We start from the raw sequence: 17,320 nt of genomic DNA, 5'->3' as shown, positions 1-17,320 counted from the left end.
CAGATGACCTCTATGCTCTACATAGGAGGCAAAATTCTTTGGGGAAGAAATTAACAATATCCACACAAAATGACAGATGGAGCAAGAGGTCTGGGTTGCTGGTCATTCCTGGTTTTCCCTTCATGCCTCCTAGGGCTGAAATGGAATAGAACGTTGAAACAGTGGTGCTGGCTGTATTTTGGCTTCAAGGATAGGATTTTCTTTGTTGCACATTGTCATCTTTTTATGCTTATTATTTCATCCTTTGCCTATTCAGTGTCCATTGGACCTGCTCCTCTTTTTTCAAGAGACAAGGTCTATGTTGCCCAGGCTGGTATTGAACTCCTGGGCTCAACTGATCCTTCCACCTCAGCTTCCCAAGCTGCTGGGACTACAGGTGTGCATCACTGCACCGGGCTGGACCTGCCTTTTCCTGGGGTACAGTTATATAAATCCACAGAGACCCAAAATTCATTCATTGTTTTGGCAAACACTGGGCAATCTTCATCTTCAAAACAGCTTTCTGGAGACAATTTAACCTCAAAAGGGCAATAGCAATTTGAGGCTTCTTTGGAGGGCTAGTAGAAGGACAATCTGGAAGCAGGTGGACACAAGGAGTTCTGACTCATGGTTTCTTTTAACTCTTGGTAAAGGGTGGTGCACTAAACAAGGCCAGTCTCTTAAGTGACAAATAGAAGTGAGTCATTGCTGAGGCCACCTGGACTGAAACTGGGCTGCTTGCTGGAAAAGATAACATGAAGTACTAAGTGTCCTGGGCCGGGTGCAGTGGCTCATGTCTGTAGTCCTAGCACTTTGGGAGGCTGAGGCAGGCGGATCACCTGAAGTCAGGAGTTCCAGACCAGCCTGGCCAACATGGTGAAACCCCGTCTCTACTAAAAATACAAAAAATTAGCCGTGGGTGGTGGCAGACGCCTGTACTCCCAGCTACACAGGAGGCTGAGGCAGGAGAATTGCTTGAATCCGGGAGGCAGAGGTTGCAGTGAGCCGAGATCATGCCACTGCACTCCAGCCTGGGTGACAGAGCAAGGCTCCGTCCTGGGGAAAAAAAAAAAAAAGAAAAAGTACTAAGTGTCCTTTTGTAATGTCATCTTGGGGGTCCAATTATATGTGGTTAATATAAATTCTTTTTTTTTTTTTTTTGAGACGGAGTTTTGCTCTTGTTGCCCAGGCTGGAGTGCAGTGGCGCGATCTCAGCTCACTGCAACCTCCGCCTCTTGGGTTCAAGTGATTCTCCTGCCTCAGCCTCCCGAGTAGCTGGGATTACAGGCATGTGTCACCACGCCTAGCTAATTTTGTATTTTTAGTAGAGATGGGGTTTCTCCCTGTCGGTCAGGCTGGTCTCAAAGTCCTGACCTCAGGTGATCCGCCTGCCTTGTCCTCCCAAAGCGCTGGGATTACAGGTGTGAGCCACTACACCTGGCTTACATATCATTTTTAAGCTGGATTTAATCTTTTGGGATAGAGTGTAATGTAAAAGAAAATACCTCACACCAGAATAGTATAGTTGGTATTTAAAAATTCTAAAATATTTAATAATTAATATTGATGAGAAGACTGATATACAATGCAATTATTTATTTTACAAGGAGATTCTATACATCAGGGAGGCATCTTGAAGTACAATACACCAGGCTTTCATTTCTTCTTTACATTATGATTGTGAGTTTCCATATAAGTTGGTACTTACATGGAAAGGGAACACAAAATCCATTTTTATATACATAAAAACAAAACACCCAAAGAGACTTGACCCCCAAAATGTCTTGTTTCACTTGAAAATAACATGAATGAGACGAAAGATGAACCAGATTACTTGGTGACGCACAGAAGGCGAACAAGTAGCTCAGGAAATCAAATCCTGTTTCAAGCTTGGCACATTAAGGGTAAGAAAGGTAGTGAAAGAAGGGTTCGAAAATATCATCTCAAGCCACAAAAAATCTGGCAGAAGACAGCCTCCAAATCAATAAGATAGAATGGTTAGAAGTCAAGTTAGAGTTATTGTGTGGCTACCTTATATCCAGACCTCTAATAGACTGAGTGGAATTGTCACTTCTCTTCCCTCAGTTATCCCAATTGTTAGTAAACTTCAAGGAGGCTGGGCATGATGACTCACACCTGCTATCTCAGAACTTTGGGAGGCGAAGATGGGCAGATTCCTTGAGCCCCGGTGTTCAAGACGAGCCTGGGCAATATGGCAAAACCTCATCTCTAACAAAACACAAAAATTAGCTGGGCCTGGTGGCACGTGCCTGTAGTCCCAGCTACTTAGACTGAAGTGGGAGGATTGCTTGAGCCTGGGAGGCAGAGGTTGCTCTGAGCCAAGATTGTGCCACTGCACTCCAGCATGGGTAACAGAGTGAGACCCTATCTCCAAAAACAAAACAAAACAAAACAAAACAAAACAAATCAAAACCAAACAAAAAACTTCAAGGAAGGCTCGGCACGGTGGCTCATGCCTGTAATCCCACCACTTTGGGAGGCTGAGGTGGGTGGATCACCTGAGGTCGGGAGTTTGAGACCAGCCTGACCAACATGGAGAAACCTCATCTCTACTAGAAATATAAAATTAGCCAGGCGTGGTGGCTCATGCCTGTAATCCTAGCTACTTGGGAGGCTGAGGTAGGAGAATCGCCTCAACCCGGGAGGCGGAGGTTGCAGTGAGCTGAGATTGCACCATTGCACTCCGGCCTGGGCAACAAGAGCAAAATTCTGTCTCAAAAACAAAATAAAACAAAAAAAACTTCAAGGAGATGTGGATTCAGGGCTTGCTTTCCTTCCTTCCTTCTTTTTTTTTTTTTTTTTTGATGGAGTCTCGCTCTGTTGCCCAGGCTGGAGTGCAGTGGTGCAATCTTGGCTCACTGCAATCTCCGCCTCCTGGGTTCAAGCGACTCTCCTGCCTCAGCGTCCTGAGTAGTTGGGATTACAGATGCGTGCCACCACGCCAGGCTAATTTTTGTATTTTTAGTAGAGACAGGGTTTCATCATGTTGGTCAGGCTGGTCTCAAACTCCTGACCGCCTTGGCTTCCCAAAGTGCTGAGATTATAGGCGTGAACCACCATGCCTGGCCTAGGTTTTGTTTTGAACTGATATTCTGTTTCTTCAGCAAGTCCACATAAGAATGTGGATATGAAAGGATGAAAATCTACTGAAAGATTACATAAAGAACAGATAACAGGGACCCACAGAATAAATCAGAAGAAATCTATGAAATAGCCACAACTTCTTGAACATTAAAGTGAAGGGAAAAAAAGCCACATTCATCAGATTAAACAGAAGCTATTAATTTTTTTCTTCCATTTATAGTGTGGATAGGAATTAAAGCAAAACAGTGAGACTGTATGGTTTTCAATACAAGTTCAAAGAAAGCAACAAAATCTTCTGTTTTAGGAAATCATATTAATATCTATTACAAATGCAGAAAGCAGGGGGGCTGAGTCAATGCCCCAGCACCAACCATACTGGTTATAGTGTGGAAGAGGGGCGGGTGAGGTGGAAGCTGCCAGAGAGAGCAGGAGGATCAGCACTGGAGTGAAGAGGAAGCACGCAGCAGGAGAGGGCAAAGAGCACTGAGAAGAAGAGGGGAGCAGTGGGCCATGATTGTGCCCTTCTTGCTTCTCCAGAGACCCTTTCCTATGCAGCACCCCACACCCAGCCAGACCTTATTGTGATTCTGGCTAGAAGTGTGGGGACTGACAGCTCATAAATGCTCCCACAGAGTTGATACAACTCTGCTTTAAGGAGGAGAATACATTTATTGGTCGAAGTGATTTAGAGAATATCATTTGGTAAATAAAACTACAATAGCCTATAAAATGTAACCTGCTAGTTTTCTGCCACGTTAGCATTAATATTAAGGCTTTTTTTTTTTTTTTGAGACGGAGTCTCGCTCTGTCACCCAGGCTGGAGTGCAGTGGCGCGATCTCGGCTCACTGCAATCTCCACCTCCCAGGTTCAAGCAATTCTCCCGCCTCAGCCTCCCCAGTGGCTGGGACTACAAGGCACAAGCCACCATGCCCGGCTAATTTTTTTTACTTTTTAGTAGAGACAGGGTTTTGCCATGTTGGCCAGGCTGGTCTTGAACTCCTGAACTCAGGTGATCCACCCGCCTCAGCCTCCCAAAGTGTTGGGATTACAGGCGTGAGCCACTGAATCTGGCTAAGGCTTTTTTTTTTTTTTTTTTTGCAAGGAAGGAATAAGGGGATTTATTGAAAATGAAAGTACACTCCACAGTGTGGGAGTGGGCCTGAGCACAGGGGCTCAAAACGCCTTTCTTGTTTTTGTATATAGAAAATATACATGCTTTCTCATCTAACCGATTTTTTTTTTTTTTTTTTTTTTAAGACAGAGTCCCACTTTGTTGCCCAGGCTGGAGTGCAGTAGGCATGATCTTGGCTCACTGCAACCTCCACCTCCTGGGTTCAAGCGATTCTCATGCCTCAACCAGGCGCCACCACACCTGGCTAATTTTTGTATTTTTAGTAGAGATGGGGTTTCACCATGTTGGCCAGGCTGGTCTTGAACTCCTGACCTCAGGTGATCCACCCACCTCGGCCTCCCAAAGTGCTGGGATTACAGGCGTGAGCCACCGCGCCTGGCCTCATCTAACCAATTTGGATTCTGGTTGGAGTTCAGGAAAAACTAAGTTCCCATTACTTCCAGATTATTTTAAAATAAAAAATCATGATGACTTGTGAGGAAAAGGAAGAACATGTCAGATCCTGAGCTTCCTCTCAGGCTTGAGTGCCTCAAGAGGACTGTATTGCTGTGTTACGAGAGGTACAGTGCAATGCTTTCATCTGATATGCCAGTGTGGTAAGAAGGCTTTCCCTGGAGGTAGAGACTCTTTTATCAGAAGGTTGGGGGTCTCCAGAAGGTTTTCCCCACCAGGAATTGGATTTGATGGCTGGAATTTAGAGCCTACACATTTGGGTCTCACAATCAGGGCAGGGCAGGTAAGGCTAATGGTGCAAACTGTGTCTCTGCACAGGCAGTCATCTAGGGGAAGGGGTGTGGTGCAGCCAGTAAAACCTGGAACCTGCAAGTGGTTCAGAACTTTGGTGGCCAGTAAGGGAAAAACTCCTCAAGCATGCTACAATATTGAAAGGTTCAAAAGCACTGACAAAGTGTTGTTTTGCCCCCGGTGCAGCACATAAGACTCTGTTCCAGTGAAATGCTACATTCAAAGTGCTGTCCACCTCAGAAGATCCCAGAGGATGCAATTCTGGCTGTGCTGGGAAGTGCTAAAGTTCCCTCCATATGTCACTTTGGAGAAGGAAGCAGCAAAGCAGCCATGTTGATTCCTCTCTCAACCTTTGGCATCATGGACGATGGTAGCTAAAAGAGATTAAAAAAGAGACAAGTTACCACATGATGTACATTGCTTTGCTATTAATGTATCAGTAGTAATGAAATGTTATACCTAATTAACACTGCCTTTCCTCTGCTCTAATTCGACCTGACCTTTCTGTTGCATCTGATACTCCTCATCTGCTTCCTTCTTAAAACTCTTCTCGGCTGGGCGCAATGGTTCACACCTGTAATCCCAGCACTTTGGGAGGCCGAGGCGGGCGGATCAAGAGGTCAGGAGATTGAGACCATCCTGGCTAACACGGTGAAACCCTGTCTCTACTAAAAATACAAAAAATTAGCTGGGCGTGGTGGCGCGCACCTGTAGTCCCAGCTACTCGCGAGGCTGAGGCAGGAGAATGGCGTGAACCTGGGAGGTGGAGTTTGCAGTGAGCCGAGATCGCGCCACTGCACTCCAGCCTGGGTGACACAGCGAGACTCCGTCTCAAAAAAAAAAAAAAAAAAAAAAAAGAACTCTTCTCTTGGCTTCTGTAACACTATCTTTTCCATAATTTTCTCTCTTCTTCAATTGATCTTTCTCAGTATGCTGTCCTGGTTCATTTTCCTCTGTCTACCCTTTAAATAAAAAACAACTTTCCTTGGCCAGTCACGGTGGCTCATGCCTGTAATCAATCCCAACACTTTGGGAGGCCAAGGTGAGAAGATCATTTGAGACCAGGAGTTTGAGAGCAGCCTGGGCAACATACGGAGACCCTGTCTCTACAAATGATCAAAAAGTTAGCCAGGTGTGGTGGCCTGTGCCTGTAGTCACAGCTACTGAGGAGGCTGAGGTGGGAGGATGGCTTGAACATGAGAGGTTGAGGCTGCAGTGAGCCACGATCATGCCACTGCACTCCAGCCTGGGTGACAGAGTGAGACCTTGTCTCAAAAAATAAAAAAAAAAAAAATAAATAAATAAAAATAAAATCCCCCCTAAAGGTCCACTATCTTCTTTCATTTGTATCTTGAGACTTTGCTTTCTTTCTGGATTCTAGGCTGCATATCTAATGGTCTTCTAGGTATCTCCATGTGTCATAGGCTCCTCAAACTAAACACATGCAATTTATTTTCTAGCTTGTTCATTGTCTGCCTTCTTCTTTTAGAATAAAAGCTTGGCCAGGCATAGTGGCTCACACTTGTAATCCCAACACTTCGGGAGGCCAAGATGGGAGGATCACTTGAGGCCAGGAATTCAAGACCAGCCTGGGAAACATAGTGAGACCCCATCTCTATTAAAAAAAGAAAAAAAAAGAATAAAGCCTCATTGAGGACAGAGACTTTATCTTATTTCCTGCTGTAGCCCAAGGACCTAGCACTATACCTATCGTGGTAGGTGCTCAGTATTTGTTGAATAAACTAAACTGTTCAGCTAAACTTATCACCTTCAAAGACCTCAAAAAATACAAGTTAAAAATATCAGAGTCATTTTGACTACTCCTTTATTTCATCTCTGGAATCCAACAAATTGCCACATCTTGTTGATTCTATGCTTGAAATGTCTTACAAATCTATCACCTTTGCATTCTCACTATCTCTGGTGTGAGCTACCACTATGCTCACTAAGATTATTTCAGATACTTCCTGTTTTCCTTGCTGCTAGTCTCTTCATCCTTCCATATCATCTTTGTTGTTTGCATCAGAGCTTGTTCTGAAATACACAGAATTTCCTGCTTATGAACTGCCAATGGTTCCAACATCCTAGCATAACAGTCAAAGCATTGCGAGGGACTGCAACCCATTTTCTAGTTTATTTTCACCACACTGCCCCAAACATCCTCTGATCCAGCTACATTTTCTGTTACCCAGAAACACCATGTGTTTTCCTCTCTCCCATCGTCTTGCTTAAGCTGGTCCTTCTTTTTCTTTTTTTGAGAGACAGTCTTGCTCTGTTGCCCAGGTTGGAGCGCAGTTGCGCGATCTCGGCTCACTGCAACCTCTGCTTCCGGGGTTCAAGTGATTCTCCTGCTTCAGCCTCCCAAGTATCTGGGACTACAGGCATGCCACCATGCCCGGCTAATTTTTGTATTTTTAGTAGAGACAGGGTTTCACCATGTTGACCAGGCTGGTCTCCAACTGGCCTCAAGTGATCCACCTGCCTCAGCCTCCCAAAGTGCTGGGATTACAGGTGTGAGCCACTGCGCCTGGCTGCACCTTGCTTATTTTTTTTTTAAGTTTATTTTTTGTAGAGATGGGGCTCACCGTGTTTCCCAGGCTGGTCTCAAAGTGATCCTCCCACCTCGGCCTCCCAAAGTGCTAGGATTACAGGTGTGTACCACTGCACCAGGCCCCTGCCTAAATCAAAAAATAGATTTTTTTTTTTTTTGTAGGGATGGAGTCTTACTATGTTGCTCAGGCTGGTGTCAAACTCCTGTGCTCAAGCGATCCTCCCGCCTCAGCCACTCAAAGTGTCGAGATTACAGGCATGAACCACTGCACTCAGCCTCATTTGCCTCTTTTTGTAAATGTTCTAAGAATCATGTAAAGATACTTTCACTGATTCCATTTGTGGCTAGCTGATTCTTTGGATATGGGTGGGTCCTTAATCACAACCGTAATTCCAAATCAAAACACTTGATTTGTTGGCTTGTTGGCTTTGTTGGATTTCTTGGCTTGTTTCATGAAGACAGCTAATTAAAATGTTGTTTATACATTAAGTTGGTAAGATCAACTGTGCTAGACAGAACTGAACCAGAGAGGGCAAGATCTTGTCTAACTTAGCACAGTCTCCTCATTTATAACCTGAGAGAGTAAGGTACAAGGAAGAGAGCACCTCACATCCTTGAAGTCATTGATTTCTTTCTCCGAATCCTGGTTCTGCAATTTACTAGCAAGTCAACCAAGTTACTTAACCATTGTGAGCCTCCATTTCCTCAGTGATAAAATGGGGATGTTAACACATCTTGCATGTTTATTACAAGGATTAAATAATATACATGAAATGCCATAATCAGAATACACATTTACTTATTTTTTTTTTTTTTTTGAGATGGAGTTTTGCTCTTGTCACCCAGGCTGGAGTGCAATGGCATGATCTCAGCTCACTACAACCTCCATCTCCCGGGTTCAAGTGATTCTCCCGCATCATCCTCCCTAATAGTTGGGATTACAGGCGCCTGCTACCAGGCCCAGCTAATTTTTGTATTTTTAGTAGAGATGGGGTTTTGCCATGTTGGTCCGGCTGGTCTCAAACTCCTGACCTCAGGTGATCCACCTGCCTCAGCCTCCCAAAGTACTGGGATTACAGGCGTGAGCCACCGCACCTGGCCTAGGCATTTACTATTGCTTCTTACTTTTCATCCCTTTGAATGCAGTCTTGCAATCAACACTGAGTGTTTTCCTTTTTACTGATGTCATTAGAGCCCTTCATATCTGAACAATTTTTTGGAAAACTCTACCTAGCACATATATGATTGGGTCTTTTGGGTCTTACCGTGTAAAATGTTTGCTCTCTTCATGAACCTCCATCTCGGAGCTTTTAAATTCATTTAATTCTTTTCTTATGGCAGCCTGTGGAGTAGAGACAAAAATGTTTCAGCTTCTTCTGGCTGCTTTGCACAGCAGTGTAACTTGTCATTTTTCTGTACTGTGTTTAACTTTGTAAGTCACTGCAACCCCTCACAGGCAACCCAGACACCAGGTCAACACAATGATACCCATCTGTCTCATAATAAACCTAAAATTTTTAGTTTAATCAAAATACTTGAAAATCTTGAAAGATATATTGTAGCTTTTATAGTTTTGTTTTTATTTTTGTTTTTCCCTGAGATGGAATCTCGCTCCGTTGCTGGGGCTGGAGTGCAGTGGTGCAATCTCAGCTCACTGCAACCTTCAGCTCCTGGGTTCAGGCGATTCTCCTGCCTCAGCCTCCCGAATAGCTGGGATTACAGGTGCGCACTACCACGTCCGGCTATTTTGTATTTTTAGTACAGACAGGGTTTCACCATGTTGGCCAGGCTGGTCTTGAACTCCTGACCTCAAGAGATCTACCTGCTTCGGCCTCCCAAAGTGCTGGGATTACAGGTGTGAGCCACTGCACCTGGCTAGTTTTGTTTTTTTTTTAATTTTAATTTTTTATTTTTATTTTTGAGGTGGAGTCTCACTCTGCTGCCCAGGCTGGAGTGCATTGGCATGATCTTGGCTCACTGCAACCTCCACCTCCTAGGTTCAAGCAATTCTCCTGCTTCAGCCTTCCAAGTAGCTGGTATTACAGGTGCATGCCATCACACCCAGCTAATTTTTGTATTTTTAGTAGAGATGGGGTTTCACCATGTTGGCCAGGCTGGTCTCGAACTCCTTACCTCGAGTGATCCCTCTGCATTGGCCTCCCAAAGTGCTAGGATTACAGGCATAAGCCACCACGCCTGGCCAGCTTTTATAGTTTTTCACAGCATTATAAAAATGAAATATTGGTAATTACTAAAATATATAGCCCAAACTCCCTCTAACCAAACAACCACTGTTTGAAATGTATTTATTCCTTCCAGTATTTTTACTCTGTGAGATAGCAGGGATTTTCTTTCTTTCAGTATTGGTGGTGGAGTTACCAAAACATACTGAGTTAGTATAACATTTTGACTTGTTCAACTTGGCATTTTGTATCTTGATTTGAAATTTAATATTATATTAAAACTAGAAGTTTTGTTTATGGTTCTCCCTTCTAGTTAGTATCTTGGATCCTCCAAATAAAGAGAAAAAGAGAAAGAGAAAAAAAGCAAGAGAGTGCTTTCCAGGTACCTTGTCAGCAGGGGTCAGTTTGGTCCAAGGTTTGTCGGCTCGCCGGTCATAATCTTGAGCATCTGTTACCTCTACATATTCATTAAACCTCAGAATCTTCCTGGCAAGGAGTTCAGCGACAGTTGGCCTTTGACTGAGCTGAAGGAAACGGAGCCTCTTAGTTCACCAAGCCAATAATTAGGCATCAATCATGCATTCAAATTGCCTCTAACCCAGTGCTTCAATCTTCATTGGAATCACCTGGGGGAGCTTTAGACACTATTGATCCCTGGAGGTCCCACCCCCAGTGATTATGGTTATCAGGTGGTTTTTTGTTTTGTTTTTTTTTTTGAGACAGGGTCTTGCCCTGTCACCCAGGCTGGAGTGCAGTGGCACAATCACAGCTCACTGCAGCCTCAACCTCCCAAGCTCAAATGATCCTCCTACCTCAGCCTCCCAAGTAGCTGATATTACAGGCGCATACCACCATGCCTGGCTAATATATATTTTTTTTTGTAGAGGTGGGGTCTTGCCATGTTGCCCAGGCTGCAAATTCATTTTTTTCTTTTTCTTTTCTTTCTTCTTCTTTTTTTTTTTTTTAATGTAGACACAAGGTTTCACTGTTTTCCCCAGGCTGGTCTTGAACTCCTGGGCTCAAGCAATCCTCCTGCCATGGCCTTCCAAAGTGCTGGGATTACAGGCGCAAGCCACTGTGCCCAGCTGTGAATTCATTTCCAATCAAATAGGCCATCCAAATATAACACATATAGTTAACTGAACACACAGGCAGTAGTACCTTTCTAGTGAGCCGACGTTTAATTTCTCGTTTTTCTGCCTGACGATCAGCTTCATTTTTAGCTACAGTTGACAATCAGAAGGAAGGAATATTACTCACAAATGACAATTTGCATATCAAACGTTTTAGTAATTACATTACAGATATTTCTTTTTTGTTTTTTTTTTTTGAGACGGAGTTTTGCTCTTGTTGCCCAGGCTGGAGTGCAATGGTACAATCTTGGCTCACTGCAACCTCGGCCTCCCGAGTTCAAGCGATTCTCCTGTCTCAGCCTCCCGAGTAGCTGGGATTACAGGCACATGCCATGCACAGCTGATTTTTGTATTTTTAGTAGAGACAGAGTTTCATCATATTGGTCAGGCTGGTCTCAAACTCCTGACCTCAGGTGATCCACCCGCCTCGGCCTTCCAAAGTGCTGGGATTACAGGCGTGAGCCACCGTGCCCAGCCCAGATATTTCTTTTTTTTTCTTTTTTTTTTTTGAGATGGAGTCTTGCTTTGTCGCCCATGCTGGAGTGCAGTGGCGCAATCTCGGCTCACTGCAAGCTCCGCTTCCCGGGTTCACGCCATTCTCCTGCCTCAGCCTCCCGAGTAGCTGGGACTACAGGCGCCCGCCACCATGCCCGGCTAATTTTTTTGTATTTTTAGTAGAGACGGGGTTTCACCATGTTAGCCAGGATGGTCTCGATCTCCTGACCTTGTGATCCACTCGCCTCGGCCCAGATATTTCTTATAGGCCCAAATCAGAATAAAATACTAACTTTGGGGATGGCTAAACAAAACAATTTTCTTGTCAACGATACAAATACTTAAAAGCAAGAGTCAGCAAACTATGGCACCACATCTCGCCAGTTGCCTGTATTTTTCCTGCCCATGAACTAAGAATAGTCTTCACATTTTTAAATGGTTTTGTAAGGACCTATTACGTATAGTTGTTCATTTGCTTTTTGGCCTGCAAAACCCAAAATGTTTACTATGTATGCTTTAAGGAAAAGCCTGCAGATTCTTGCTCAAGAGTAACTGCTAAGAATGGACAATGGTGATCACACTGAGTTTTGTGTGATACGTTATAAGGGCTCCCACACTAGAAAATGTACTAAGTTATTAAGTTGTGTATACCCAAGTAGTGCTGAGAGAACAGGGGATGGATTGGTCAGACTGAACATGCTCACAAATAGCCCCAAGGAAGCCCAAACCTTCTCAGTGAGGAGACTTTTAAGGCCAAATTTCACTCTATATTCTGGAAAAACAAATGAAATATGTACTAGATTAGAATGCTATTTCAGGAAATTAATTATGTACACAGACAGCAAATTAAATATATGGTCCCATTTGGTAACTACAGAGGTAAGAAAGTCTTAAGGGATTAAACCAAGAGAAAAGCTGCTGCATTTGGGACTTGCTTTGGGCCCCAGCCCTCACATTCTAGGAATAGGAAGGTCTCCATATGCACAGCTACCTCCTTAGCTCCCTGAAAACAGAAAAATTGGGCACATCTCCCATATACTGTCAAAGCCTCCCAAATGCCCAAGGCAGTTCCAGGATACAGTGAGAACACTGAAACAAAGCTTTCTAGAGTATCACAGCACACTAAACAATACCATAATAGCATCTTCCAAAGGAAGCTTGGTAAGCTCTGTTCCTTCATGGGGAAATAAATAGTCCTTGCCTGGCTGGAACACTCTCCCTTAGCCCTTGTAGCAAACGCTTCTTTTTTCTTTTATGTATATTAAAGTCAGAAACATACAAAGAAAATCTATACAACTTTATTTCCATAACTGGACTCACGTTGCAATATATTGCGTTGTTCTAGTTCTTCTGGTGTTGGTCTTTGACTCAGTCGCCTAAAAATGAGATAAATAAAGGTAATGTTTATGTTAAACCTCCCAATCTTGTTTATAAAGATTTTTTTGGTCACAGTATATATTAGCCCCTATATAAGTAAGAAATCAACAAATTTTCAAACTGATATATTTCATTTATTTATGATTGTTTATAAAACAATTTCACATTAAAAGTGTTAACACAGATATCACATTATAAAAAGGAACTGTATATGCAAACAAGTGGCCAGGATTCTAGTTCTAGACCTTGATAAGAGCTATTAGCACAAAAAAGTTCAGTTAGACCTTGAGTGTCCTCATCCGTGAAGCGAAGGTTTGGACCGAACTGGTGGCTCCTAAACAAATTTGCTCCTTCAGAAGCATTAGAGACTTTTTAGAAAACACAGATTCCCAAGAAACGTTAACAGAAATTCTGATTCAGAAAATCAGGATGAAAAATGAAATTACATATATCTATATATAGATTTTTTTTTTCACAAAACTTCTTCTATGACTCAGATGCCCCTCTTTAGATTTTTTTTTTTTACAATTTTTTGAAAATAGAGATGAGGGTCTCACTCTGTTGCCCAGGATAGTCTTGAACTCCTCCTGGGCTCAAGCTATCTTCCCGCCTTGGCCCCCCAAACTGCTGGGATTATAGGCGCAAGCCATTATGTCCAGCTAGGTTATTTTTGAGATGGAGTCTTGCTCTGTCACCTAGGCTGGAGTGCAGTGGTGCAATCTCGGCTCACTACAAGCTCCGCCTCCCGGGTTCATGACATTCTCCTGCCTCAGCCTTCCAAGTAGCTGGGACTACAGGCGCCTGCCACCACGCCTGGCTAATTTTTTGTATTTTTAGTAGAGACGGGGTTTCACCGTGTTAGCCAGGATGGTCTCGATCTCCTGACCTTGTGATCCGCCTGCCTCGGCCTCCCAAAGTGCTGGGATTACAGGCGTGAGCCACCACGCCTGGCCATGCCCAGCTAGGTTTTTAAATCAGTGGTTTAGGAACCACTGGAATTTAAGTTTGTCTCTTTCTGTGTGATATTCTATAATTCTATGATTTAAATCTCAGTCTTCTCTGTGAAGCATTTGATAAAGTTATCTCACCTCATCACAGTTCTGAGATGTTATTCACCAATAACAATTTGTTGGCCAGGTGTGGTGGCTCATGCATGTAATCCCCAGCACTTTGGGAAGCTGAAGCAGGTGGATCACCTGAGGTCAGGAACTCAAAACCAGCCTGGCCAACATGGTGAAACCCTGTCTCTACTGAAAAATACAAAAATTAGCCGGATGTTGTGGCGTGCTCCTGTAGTCCCAGCTACTCGGGAGGCTGAGGCAGGAGAATGCTTGAACCTGGGAGATGGAGGTTGCAGTGAGCTGAAGCTCATGCTACTGCACTCCTGCTTGGGCGACAGAGTGAGATTCCATCTCAAAAAAAAAAAAAAAAAAAAAAAAAACAACAAAAAACTACAATTTGTCATTTTTGAAATCAGAAAGTTATTCATTTCTTACTTTTAATTTATACTTCTCAGACAGTATTTGGGCTAATTAGCTAGTACTTGCAAAATTTTCAACTCTTCTGTTGCTTGCATAAGGAACTTCCAGTCCCATTCTATATACAACTTTTCTTTCTGAACAAGACCTTCCTTTTTTTTTTTTTTTTTTTGTGTGTGTGTCAGGGTCTCACTCTGTACCCAGGCTAGAGTGCAGTGGTGCGATCACAGCTCACTGCAGCTCCACCTCCTAGGCTCAAATGATCCTCCTACCTCAAGGATCTTCCATTTTATTTATTTATTTTTATTTTATTTTTATTTTTTTTTAGGCAGAATCTTGCTCTGCCGCCCAGGCTGGAATACAGTGGCTTGATCTCGGCTCACTGCAACCTCCGCCTCCCAGGTTCAAGAGATTCTCCTGCCGCAGCCTCCCGAGTAGCTGGGACTATAGGCGCGTGCCACCATGCCCGGCTAAGTTTTTGTAGTTTTAGTAGAGATGGCGTTTCACCGTGTTAGCCAGGATGGTCTCAATCTCCTGACCTTGTGATCCGCCTGCCTCGGCCTCCCAAAGTGCTGGGATTACAGGCGTGAGCCACTGTGCCCCGCCCCATTTTATTTTTTAAAAAGTACGTATGTATGTATGTATGTATTTATTTATTTAGAGACTGGGCTGGCTAATTTTTTTATTTTTGGTAGTGATGGAGTTTTGCCATATTGCCCAGGCTGGTCTCAAATTCCTGGGCTCAAGTGATTCCCCCAGCTCAGCCTCCCAAAGGGCTGGAATTAGAGATGTTAGCCACCACACCCAGCTGGACCTTCCTGTTTTTTTTTTTGAGACAGAGTCTCACTCTGTCGCCCAGGCTGGAGTGCACTGGCGCCACCTTGGCTCACTGCAACCTCAGCCTCCTGGGTTCAAGTGATTGCCCTGCCTCAGCCTCCTGAGTAGCTGAGACTACAGGCATGCACCACTAGGCCCAGCTAACTTTTAATAGAGATGGGGTTTCAGCATGTTGGTCAGGCTGGTCTTGAACTCCAGACGTTAAGTGATCTTCCTACCTCAGCCTCCCAAAGTGTTGGGATTACAGGCATGAGCCACCATGCCTGGCCTGGGCCTTCCTTTTTAAATGTTCTTCGGAAAAACAAAAAACAAAAAACAAAAAACAAACCAGCTTTAATACGATATAACTGACACAATAATACTGTAAATATGTACAACTGTGTACATACTTAACATGTACAATTTGGCCACTTTTGCCATATATCACCTGTGAAATCATCATCACAATTGCAAGAATGAACATATCACTCCTGTATTTATTTCCTTTCCTTTCTTTTTGAGACAGAGTTTTGCACTGTTGCCCAAGCTGGAGTGCAGTGGCCCGATCTTGGCTCACTGTAACCTCTGCCTCCCCGGTTCAAGTGATTCTCCTGCCTCAGCCTCCCAAGTAGCTGGGATTACAGGCATGTGCTACCACGCCCAGCTAATTTTGTATTTTTAGTAGAGATGAAGTTTCTCCATGTTGATCAGGCTGGTCTCGAACTCCCAACCTCAGGTGATCTGCCTGCCTCGGCCTCCCAAAGTGCTGGGATTACAGGGGTGAGCCACCACACCCGGCCTTGTCAGTCTTTTAAATTGCATAACTTTAGCCATCCTAGTGTACTCGTGGTGGTCTCTTATTGTGTGTGTTTTTTTAAATTTCAATCTTATTTTATAGTGATAACACTTACTATGAGATCTACCTTTTGAACAGACTTTTAAGTGTACAATACAGTATTATTATTATTTTTTTTGAGATGGAGAGTCTCACTCTGTTGCCCAGGCTGGAGTGCAGTGGCGTGATCTTGGCTCATTGCAACCTCTGCCTCCCAGGTTCAAGCGATTCTCCTGCCTCAGCCTCCTGAGTAGCTGGGATTACAGGCATGCGCCACCACACCCGGCTAATTTTTGTATTTTTAGTAGAGATGGGGTTTCACCATGTTGGTCAGGCTGGTCTGGAACTCCTGACCTCGTGATACGCCTGCCTCGGCCTCCCAAAGTATTGGGATTATAGGCATGAGCCACCACACCTGGCCAATACAGTATTAACTATTGACTGATTGATTGAGACAGAGTCTCACTCTGTTGCCCAGGCTGGAGTGCAGTGGCACGGGATCCCGGCTCACTGAAACCTCTGCCTCCCGGGTTCAAGCAATTCTCCTGCCTCAGCCTCCTGACTAGCTGGGATTACAGGTGCCTGCCACAACACCCGGCTAATTTTTGTATTTTTAGTAGAGATGGGGTTTCATCACGTTGGCCAGGCTGGTCTTGACCTCCTGACCTCGTGATCTGCCTGCCTCGGTGTCCCAAAGTGTTGGGATTACAGGCGTGAGCCACCGCGCCCAGTCTACAGTATTAACTATAAACACAATGTTGTACAGTGGATCTCTAGAACTTACTCATCATGCATAACTAAAACTTTATACTTATTTATTAGCAACTCCCTATCACCCCTGCCTTCAATCCCGAGCCCCTGACAACTATCTTTCTACTCTCTGCTTCTATAAATGTGACTATTTCAGATACCTCGCAGAAGTGGAATCATGCAGTATTTATTGTTCTGTGACTGGCTTACTCATATTAATGTCCTCAAGGTTTGACTATGTTGTTAGCATATTGGAGGATTTCCTTCTTTTTTAAGATTAAATAATATTCCACTGTATGTATAAACTATATTTTCTTTTGAAACGGAGTTTCTTTTGCTCTTGTTGCCCAGGCTGGAGTGCAGTGGTGTGAACTCAGCTCACTGCAACCTCTGTCCCCTGGGTTCAAGCGATTCTCCTGCCTCAGCCTCCCGAGTAGCTGGGACTACAGGTGCCTGCCACCACCCGGCTAAATTTTTTGTAATTTTAGTAGAGATGGGGTTTCACCGTGTTAGCCAGGATGGTCTCTGTCTCCTGACCTCGTGATCCACCCGCCTCGGCCTCCCAAAGTGCTGGGATTACAGGCATGAGCCACTGCGCCCGACCCATGTTTTTATATTTTTAAAGGTAGGAAAAAAAAAAAGAGAGAGTTTATATGGCCATCAAATCCATATATATATATGGACATATATACACACACGTACACATATATATTACATACACACATATATATTACATACACA

At 43.9% G+C, this 17,320-nt stretch overlaps 1 protein-coding gene across 6 annotated transcripts in view; it reads right to left on the bottom strand.

Moving 5' to 3' along the window:
* Positions 1-1,504: 1,504 nt before the first annotated feature.
* Positions 1,505-17,320, bottom strand: part of PHACTR4 (phosphatase and actin regulator 4) — a 130,625-nt gene continuing 114,809 nt past the window's right edge. For all 6 annotated transcript variants that reach the window (NM_001350159.2, NM_001350160.2, NM_001350161.2 and 3 more), the window contains 5 exons: positions 12,644-12,699; positions 10,857-10,918; positions 10,082-10,219; positions 8,778-8,854; positions 1,505-5,335 (listed from right to left, as the gene is read on the bottom strand). In NM_001350159.2, the coding sequence (NP_001337088.1) occupies positions 5,320-5,335; positions 8,778-8,854; positions 10,082-10,219; positions 10,857-10,918; positions 12,644-12,699 (349 nt within the window). In that variant the 3' untranslated portion in view covers positions 1,505-5,319. The remainder of the gene's footprint in view (positions 5,336-8,777; positions 8,855-10,081; positions 10,220-10,856; positions 10,919-12,643; positions 12,700-17,320) is intronic.

Source organism: Homo sapiens, chromosome 1 (genome assembly GCF_000001405.40).
Source record: "Homo sapiens chromosome 1, GRCh38.p14 Primary Assembly".
In the NCBI taxonomy this organism is placed as follows: Eukaryota; Metazoa; Chordata; class Mammalia; order Primates; family Hominidae; genus Homo; species Homo sapiens.
Note: the sequence above shows the minus strand (reverse complement) of the source record. Positions and strands in the feature narration are given on the sequence as shown.